Raw genomic sequence first — 8859 nt, forward strand, 5'->3', positions numbered from 1 at the left:
CCCCAGCGCTGAGCAGGGGCGGGCGGGGAGCGGAAACGGTGGCTGTGGTTGTTGCCGCGCGGCTGGGCGCCTGGGGAGCCCGCGGAGGGGCGCGGCCGCCAGACCCCGCCCGGCCCGGAGGTGAGGAGACCTCAGCCCCGGACGCCGAGGCCCCGCCCCGCCGGCGATGCACCCCCCGCCCACCTCCGCGCCCCTTTGTTCCGCGACCGCAGTCCCGCCGAGAGCCGCACTGAAGAGCCCCAGCCTGGCCGTCCCGCGGTTTCCCGCCGCCTCACCAGTCTCGGGCGGGAGGGGCCCCGGCGCTGGCGTGGCCGCGGCTCCCACAACGCAGCCAGGACTGCACTCGGGGCTGCTGGGGCCCGCGTGCGTCCCGGGCGGCTCCACGCGTCGGGGTCGCCCCCGCGCCTCCCACCCCCGGCCTCTCGGGGCCGCCGGCTCGCGCGCCTTCCAGGCGAAGGCCAGAGGCCGCAGTGAGGGGCACCGAGTGGCGGGCTCCTCCGCACCACCCCCGGGCTTTATAATAAAAGTCGCCGTTGTTTAAGAGCCAGGTCGGAGGCGCCGCTTTCTGGGCGGTGAAAGCCGAAGCGAGAGCGGGCAATTCGCTGCGGCGGCGGCCGCTTCCTGGGCGTCGGTCCAGTGCCCCGGCCCGGCCTGGGAGACCCGCACCAACCCCGGGAGGGAGGACGGGGCGCGGGCGCAGCCTAGGGGCCGAAGCACTGCACGCACGGCCGGCGCGGGGGCAGAGGGGAGACAGGGAAGCCTGAGCTCCGCGCTGCTGAAGGCTCCGGGGATGGGTGGGCGGCGGTGAGGTAGTCTTGCCCGGGCCCTGCCCGCGTGGGCGCTTTCTGAGTCTCTGTCGCGTGACGGAGGCGGGACCTAGGCTGTGTCTCCTGCGGGGCGAAAGCACGGAAGAGATCCGAGGGCATTTCTTGAGCCTGGCAGGAGGCCAGGGGTTTTACAGGGCAGGAAGGAACCTGGAGGAACCGAGGAGCCACGTTGTTGGTTGGAAAGAAGGGTGGCCAGGTGGGGAGGAGTCTGGCAAAGGGTCCCAGACAGCAGGAAGGGCACCTGTGAAGCCGCCCTGCCGAGTGTGTGGTAGAGGCGGGGTGAAATGAGCACTGCTCATAAAAGTGACTGTTGTGATTTTTTATGAGATGGAGTCTCGCTCTGTCGCCCAGGCTGGAGTGCAGGGGAGCAACCTCGGCTCACTGCAACCTCCGCCTCCCGGGTTCACGCCATTCTCCTGCCTCGGCCTCCCCAGTAGCTAAGATTACAAGGCGCCCGCCACCACGCCCGGCTAATTTTTTTGTAGTTTTAGTAGAGACGGGGTTTTGCCATGTTGGCCAGGCTGGTCTCAAACTCCTGAGCTCAAGTGATCCGCCCCTCTCGGCCTCCCAAAGTGCTGGGATTACATGCGTGAGCCCCCAGCCTAAAAGTGACTGTTTACTACAATAAGTACAAATAATAGGTGACCAGCACTTGTCTGCTGAGGCCCTGGGGCTGGGTGTGTTTAGGGGACCCCTCTCCTCTCCAGGCCCTCCCCAAGCCTGCCCACTGATGGGGAAGCTGCAGGGCTATCCCTCCAAGGGGAGGCCCTGCCAGGCCAGGGAAGGTCCAAGTGGGTGCTCACCAAGCTTCCTAGGTTCCCAGTTTTCTTGAAACCATCTTCCCAGCACAGTCATCTCCCGTGGTTGCCTTTAGCAAGTCACATCCCCTGACTCTTTAACATCTCGGTCCTGGCAGTTTCTTGGTATGGCACCATCTCCCTATGTGGACCACAGGTTATCTATCACACTGACCCGCTGTCCCTCACACACAGTCACTCACCTGTGACACTTGGAAAGGACTAGCTCCACAGGCCTGGCCAGGGCCCAAAGGGAGGTGGCCAGCAATCGAAATCAACCCTGATGACTAAGTAGAAAAGGAGTCCTTGGGAGTATTGTGGGGAGCTCAGGGAGCTGACCAGGAGTCTGGATGGCCACAGCCACAGCCGGGGACAGTCTTGGGAGGTGACTGTGGTCACCACCACTACTGGGCTGCAGCATCGCTGAATGCAGCCCCTGCCACAACTCCACAGGCATTGGCTGTAATGATGGGCGGGGGTGCTGGGCACCACAGCGGGGAGGGAGGGCTCCTGTCCCTGCATCTTTGCCTGGGTTAGCCAGATGCCCAGGAAGGGAGAAGGAATGCTGCCCCCTTTAGCCTTTGAGGTGGGAGGAGGGGCCCTGGCTCCCATGACAGCTCACAAAATGGGGATTGCCCCTTACTAGGAGCGGTGTGCGGATGCTGATCAGCCCACCGAATGCTCACCACTGAGGGGCTGCAGCGGCCAGGTGTGAGGGGAAGAGACTGCAGAGAGGTGACAAGGCCGTCAAAGGAGAGGAGCCACCACTGGGGAGCCTGGTGGCTCAGGAAGGCAGCTGGTGTGGGTGTGGGAGAGTCGGATCAGAAGGCCAGCACTGCTCATCATGGAGCACCTGGGAGAGCAGCAGCGACTCAGCTCCTGGCACCAGGTGAGGCAGGAAAATAGGGTCTGGAGGCAGGGAACATAAGGCTCATTCACACTTCAGCTATAACCGGAAATATCCTCTCCATAGGGCATATCAGGTAAATGACTTTGTAACTTTACTTCATCCTCTCTGTTTATATAGGGCATACCCGAAGTAACCAATGAATCCTCTAGGGGGTATTTAAACTCCCCCAAATTCTGTAACAGGGCCTTTTGAATCCTACACTCAGGCCCATTCCCACACAGTGGAGTGTACTTTCATTTTCAATAAAATCTTCATTCCTTCCTTGCTTTGTTTGTGTGTCTCTTCCAATTCTTTGTTCAAGATGCCAAGAACCTGGACACTCTCCACCTTTAACACAGGGGTTGTTTAATTTACCTTTTGCCTTAGAAATATAAAAAGATACACAGTAAAGGTGTGTAAAAGGAAAGGCCTCTTTCACCCTTACCCCACCCCCATCCCTCCCTAAAGGTCCCTGTGATTAGCTTGGTGTGTGTCCAGCCCTCCCTCTGCATTTCACACGGATATGCGAACAGTGGATCAGGCTTGGGTTTGTTTCTTCCAATAAACGGCATCATGCGGTATGTATTGTTCTTTAATGTGCTTTTGGAGACGTTTCCAATCCAGCAAACCCTTTTATCCATTTCATAATATTCCGTAGAATGCATGCTCCCCATCTTGAGGGAAGTTTGGGTTGTTTCATTCTGCTTTGTTAGGACGAATGCCTGCTTTTGTGCACACAGTTGAGTATGGGGCTGGGATTTGAGGGGAAGAGGCTCTGTTTGAGTCCCTGTTGATGTGAGGTGAAGGTGTGTTGGTCCGGCACTAAGCAGGCAGTGGACAATACATGCTGAGCTGGGTTGGGAGTGGACTCTTGGGATTCGGGACTCAAAAATAATGTACGGCCAGGTAAATTGCTGGTTTTGCTTCTGGGTCACAGGAAGGGCTGCGGTCCCCGCAGACCCAGATGCGTCCACTAGATGGCGCCAAAGCCAGTAAGGTGAGGCGCTTGTGACAGAAGCCCCGACTTGCTGCAGGAGTCTGGGCCCAGGGTCTGACTCCTGAGCTCCTAGGAGATGGATGAATATTCTTCCTGCACCGCCAGCTGCCTCGCTTAAACGTGGGGAGGCTGAAGAGGGTGCAAAGCTGGGTGAACATGAGTGATTAGACAGGATGTGCCCTGGCCAAGACAGGGAGCTGAAATTCAGTCTGTGGAACAGGCTGTGATGGCCCAGAGGAAATCCATAGGTGGGAGGAAAACTATGGACCCTGTGCTCCATATTGCCAGGACCTGCAGAGGAACTAGCTCCTGCAGAAGATGCAGGATTTGGACGGGAAGATTGGGCAAGGGTTCTGTCTACTGGGCACTGAAGGTTTGATGGGGACACTGGGATGGTCCCTGCCACCAAAGCAGCTCAAGCTCAGGCAGAGGAAATAGAAACTGGACAAATGCAGTATTTCTTATGGGCACTGCTCTAAGGAGTAATTTGGAATCCAGTAGGGTGATGTAAGTGAAGGTGCTTTGAAACCTCCCAAAGCTCTCGCCCAGGTAAGGAGGTTTGTGGTCCTTGTCACCATTTACCCAGGAAAGCTTCAAAGCAGCAGCGGCGGCGGCGGCGGCGGCGGCGGCAGCAGAATTTCCCTCCTTCCCTCCTGTTACTCTCCCAGCCTCCTCTCCCTCCTATCACTCTCCTAAGTTCAGAGCTGACCCCACTCCTCTGCTACCCATGGTGGTAGCCAGGCCTGTGCCTCTCCTAGCATCAGAAGCTGCCCCAGGCTCCCAGGACTGGAGCTCAGATCTGATTTTGAAAAACTGAATGAATGGGTGAGAGCGGTGGCTTATGCCTGTACTCCCAGCATTTTGGAAGATTGAGGTGGGTGAATTGCTTGAGCTCAGGAGTTCAAGACCAGCCTGGGCAACATGGTGAAACCCTGTCTTTACAAAAAAATACAAAAATTAGCTGGACATGGTGGCACACACCTGTAGTCCCAGCTACCTGGGAGGCTGAGGTAGGAGGATTGCTTGAACCACGGGAGACAGAGGTCGCAGTGAGCCAAGATTGTGCCACTTTACTCCAGCCTGGATGACAGAGCGAGATTGTCTCAAAAAAAAAAAAAAAAAGAAAAAAGAAAAAAAAAAAGCCGGGCACGGTGGCTTATGCCTGTAATCCCAGGACTTTGGGAGGCCAAGGCGGGTGGGTCACGAGGTCACGAGATCGAGACCATCCTGGCTAACACAGTGAAACCCCGTCTCTACTAAAAATACAAAAAATTAGCTGGGCGTGGTGGCGGGCACCTGTAGTCCCAGCTGCTCGGGAGGCTGAGGCAGAAGAATGGCATGAACCTGGGAGGTGGAGGTTGCAGTGAGCTGAGATCGCGCCACTGCACTCCAGCCTGGGCGACAGAGCAAGAATCCGTCTAAAAAAAAAAGAGAGAGTCCCAGTGCTAAAACTGAGAGTCCTGGGCAAACTGGAACAATTGATCACACAATAAAGTGGGGGTTCTTGGGCTGGGTATGGAGGCTCATGCTTATAATCTCAGTGCTTTGGGAGGCCAAGGTGGAAGGATTGCTTGAGCCCAGGGCTTCAAGACCAGCCTGGACAACATAGCAAGACCCTATCTCTACAAAAGAAAAAACAAGCACACACTTGTAGTCCCAGCTACTTGGGAGGCTGAGGCAGGAGGACTGCTTAAGGCCAGGAGGTGGAGGTTGCAATGGGCTATGATGGCACCTCTGCACTCCAGCCTCAGTGACAGAGCAAAACCTCATTTTGAAAACACACACATGAGGGGCGCTGGGAATAGCCGCTCATGTCGGCTGACGGAGCGGTGTGGGGCCGCATGCGAAGCTGCCTCCGCGCCTTCCCCGAGCGGCTGGCCGCCTGCGGGGCCGAGTAAGGACTTCTGCGCGCGGGAGTTCGAGGCCCTGCGGAGCTGCTTCGCCGCCGCGGCCAAGAAGACGCTGGAGGGAGGCTGTTAGGAGGGACTCTGAGCTTCACACCTGTCTGCTGCCGTGGTTGCAGAGCCCTAGTCCTGATGGCCCCCGGTGGCATACATTGAATGCCTAGGGCAGAAAGGAAGTGGGAATGGCGAAGATGTGACGTGCCTCGGTGTTAGATACTGTTTCTTCTTAACAAGTTGAGGCGTGGGTAGAGCAGGAACTGGTTTTCCAGCATTGTGTCCGTAAACCTGAGTCAGAATAAGATGTAACAGAAGCCAGATAAAGACTCTGTCAAATCCTGCAAAAAAAAAAAAAAGAAAAAAAAGAAAACACACACACACACACATGCACACAATGCATAAAGTGTTTCTGAAACTTTGGTGTGCATGAGAGACACCTGGGGACTTACAAAAACACAGATGGCTGGCCCCACCCTAGAGTTTCTAATTTAGTAGGTCCAGGGTGGGGTCCGGTAATTTGCATTTCTAACAAGTTTCCTGATACTGCTGCTGTTGCTCTTGGTTGGGGCCCAAACTTCCAGAACAACTGGTCTGAATGAAGGGCTGGGTCCGGGACCTGCAAGTCCCACTGTGCTGCTTGCCCCGGTACCTCCTCCTAAGTCTGGCCCAGCAGGAAACGGAGCGCGGGTCAAAGTCCTCTCACAGTCAACCAGGAGAAACCTGTGTCTTCCTGGCAGGGTGGCTGGGTGCTATGGAAACAAGGCTCAGCCCAGAAGTGCCCAGCCTCCTTCCCAGAAGCAACTTCAGCCTCTAGGGGAGGAGTGAAGTGAACAAACAAACGGAAGGGCAGAGCTCAGTTCCTGGATGGAAGCGGCACCTGCATGGAAGCGCCCTCAGCAACCTCAGGGCCCAGACTTCCGGGAAAGTCTCACAGGGCCCCTGGCTTGAGTTTTGGAGCTGGAAGGGAACTTTGCAATCTTGGTTCAACTTTTTGTTTTATTTTCTGAGATGAATCCTCGCTCTGTTGCCCAGGGTGGGGTGCAGTGGCGCAATCTCGGCTCACTGCAACCTCCGCCTCCCGGGTTCCAGCGATGCTCCTGCCTCAGCCTCCTGAGTAGCTGGGATCACAGGTGCCTGCCACCACGGTTGGCTAAATTTTGTATTTTTAGTAGAGATGGGGGTTTCACCATGTTGGCCAGGCTGGTCTCGAACTCCTTACCTCAGGTGATCCGCCCACCTCTGCCTTCCAAAGTGCTGGGATTACAGGCATGAGCCACCGTGCCCGGCCCAGTACATCTTTTAACTGGGCTGTGAATGACACGACTTGCTAAGACCTGCCCACTAAGAATGAGCTGCAGCCAGCACAATGTTGTCCGCTTCCAGCCACTTTCCTAGATACTCCTCCATTCCTCAGATTCCAGCCCCCACCCCAGCCTGGAACGCCCACAGTGCTTTTATCACAGCTCTTAACTCCACTTGGTTCCCCAAAGCTATGAGCCCACATACCACCTCCCAGGGCTACAACACTTTGGGTTTCTCAGACACTGTCAACACTAAGCAGCATGAACTGCAGGACACACAGGACAGCTGGAGAGGGGCAGTGAGTCACTGTGTCATAGTCCTGCCCAAATTCCAATGTTGAAATTGCAGAAGCCTGGGGCCCACCCTAGAGAATCTGATTCAGCAGGTTGGAGGGGGGGCCCAGGCACTGATATTTTCAAGAGCCCTGGGTGATGTGGATGCCGATAGCACTGGCTGCATGCTGAGAAACACTGCCGATAGCATCATCTTCCACAGAAGGCCACCCAGGAAGAGATGATGAGGTGACAGAACTTCATCACCCAACTCAAGAAGGCTTGGGAGGAAGGGGTAATTTATTGGTTCTAAGCCCAGACCATGGACAAAACAGAGTGCTATGGTTCAAATGTCCCCAGCAATGTTCATGTTGAAATGTAATTGCCGTTGTGATGGTGGCATTGGCAGGTGGGGCCTTTGCAAGGTAATTAGGTTATGAGGGCTCTGCCCTCAGGAATGGATCCATGCCATCATCTCTGGAGTGGGTTCTTGATAAAAAGGATGATTCTGGACCACTTCCCTCTCATGTCTCACATGCTTACCTCTGCCTTCCATCCTTCTGCCATGGTGGGGCCCTCACAAGATGCTGGTGCCATGCTCTTGGACTTTCCAGCCTCCAGGACTGTGGGAAATCAATTTCTTTTCCACCCAGTCTGTGGAATTCTTTTTAAAATTTTTTATACTATTATTACTATTATTATTTGAGATGGAATCTTGCTCTGTCAGTCACCCAGACTGGAGTGCAGTGGTGCAATCTCCGCTCACTGCAACCTCCGCCTCCTGGGTTCAAGCAATTCTCCTGCCTCAGCCTCCCAAGTAGCTGGGATCACAGGTGTGCGCCACCATGCTCTGCTAATTTTTGTATTTTTAGTAGAGACGGGGTTTCACCACGTTGCCCAGGCTGGTCTCCAACTCCTGGGCTTAAGTGATCTGCCAACCTCAGCCTCCCAAAGTGCGTGAGCCACCGTGTCTGGCCCACTCTGTGGAATTCTGTATGGCAGCAGGAAATGGACTAAAAAGCAGTACAGAGATGTCACTCGGCTTCATGCACAATGGGAACTGAGGCCTGGGTTCTCCGGTCTCTCCAGGCTAATTTCCCCACCCAGCTGGGAACAATCACCCACAGGGTCCATCTTCCACCAGAGGAACTCACTCGCTGCCAAATTTAAAAACCCTGGGAGACAGCCAATTGGGTTAGGTGCTTCTTCCTGGACCAGTGAACTGTGATCAGGTGAGTGGGCCCCACATGGGCCAGCTCTGGGTCAGTACCACTCAGGGTCTAAGGCAGGGAAGGGTGGTGGAGAAGGGGTAAAGCCTCACCAGTTTTATTGTTTTTTAAAAACAGTTGGCCAGGCACAGTGGCTCACACCTGTAATCCCAGCACTTTGGGAGGCCGAGGTGGGTGGATCATGAGGTCAGGAGTTCAAGATCAGCCTGGCCAACATAGGGAAACCCTGTCTCTACTAAAAATACAAAAATTAGCTGGGCGTGGTAGCACGCGGCTGTATTCCCAGCTACTCGGGGGGCTGAGGCAGGAGAATTGCATAAGCCTGGGAGGTGGAGGTAGCAATGAGCCAAGATCTTGCCACTGCACTCTGGCCTGGGCAACAGAGTGAGACTCCGTCTCAAAAAAAAAAAAAAAATTAACACATAAAACTTGTATATATTTATAGTGTACAACATGATGTTTTGATATATGTATACACTGTGGAATGACTAAATCAAGATAGTTAACATATCCATTCCATCTCCAGAACTTGTTCCTTCTAACTGAAACTTTGTATCCTGTGACCAACATTTCCCCACTGCCCCTAAACTCCCTTACCAGATTATTGGTTTCCTTCTGTGGAGGCTGCTCTCTACCACTAAGAGT

The 8859-nt window shown here is 54.9% G+C and overlaps 1 pseudogene, besides 4 other annotated features; it reads left to right on the forward strand.

Moving 5' to 3' along the window:
• Nucleotides 18-407: a silencer, noted in NCBI's record as "silent region_1878". NCBI's record gives its function as "represses an Ori minimal core promoter by ATAC-STARR-seq in GM12878 lymphoblastoid cells {active_cell/tissue: GM12878}" and the evidence as "EXISTENCE:reporter gene assay evidence [ECO:0000049][PMID:35858748]".
• Nucleotides 418-797: a silencer, noted in NCBI's record as "silent region_1879". NCBI's record gives its function as "represses an Ori minimal core promoter by ATAC-STARR-seq in GM12878 lymphoblastoid cells {active_cell/tissue: GM12878}" and the evidence as "EXISTENCE:reporter gene assay evidence [ECO:0000049][PMID:35858748]".
• Nucleotides 888-1117: an enhancer, noted in NCBI's record as "active region_2646". NCBI's record gives its function as "activates an Ori minimal core promoter by ATAC-STARR-seq in GM12878 lymphoblastoid cells {active_cell/tissue: GM12878}" and the evidence as "EXISTENCE:reporter gene assay evidence [ECO:0000049][PMID:35858748]".
• Nucleotides 3352-3646: an enhancer, noted in NCBI's record as "tiled region #5028; K562 Activating DNase matched - State 8:EnhW". NCBI's record gives its function as "activates a minimal TATA promoter and a strong SV40 promoter by Sharpr-MPRA in K562 cells {active_cell/tissue: K562}" and the evidence as "EXISTENCE:reporter gene assay evidence [ECO:0000049][PMID:27701403]".
• LOC112268255 (NADH dehydrogenase [ubiquinone] 1 alpha subcomplex assembly factor 8-like) lies at nt 5243-5627 on the forward strand (annotated as a pseudogene).
• Nucleotides 5628-8859: the final 3232 nt, after the last annotated feature.

This window comes from Homo sapiens, chromosome 1, assembly GCF_000001405.40.
Source record: "Homo sapiens chromosome 1, GRCh38.p14 Primary Assembly".
In the NCBI taxonomy this organism is placed as follows: domain Eukaryota; kingdom Metazoa; phylum Chordata; class Mammalia; order Primates; family Hominidae; genus Homo; species Homo sapiens.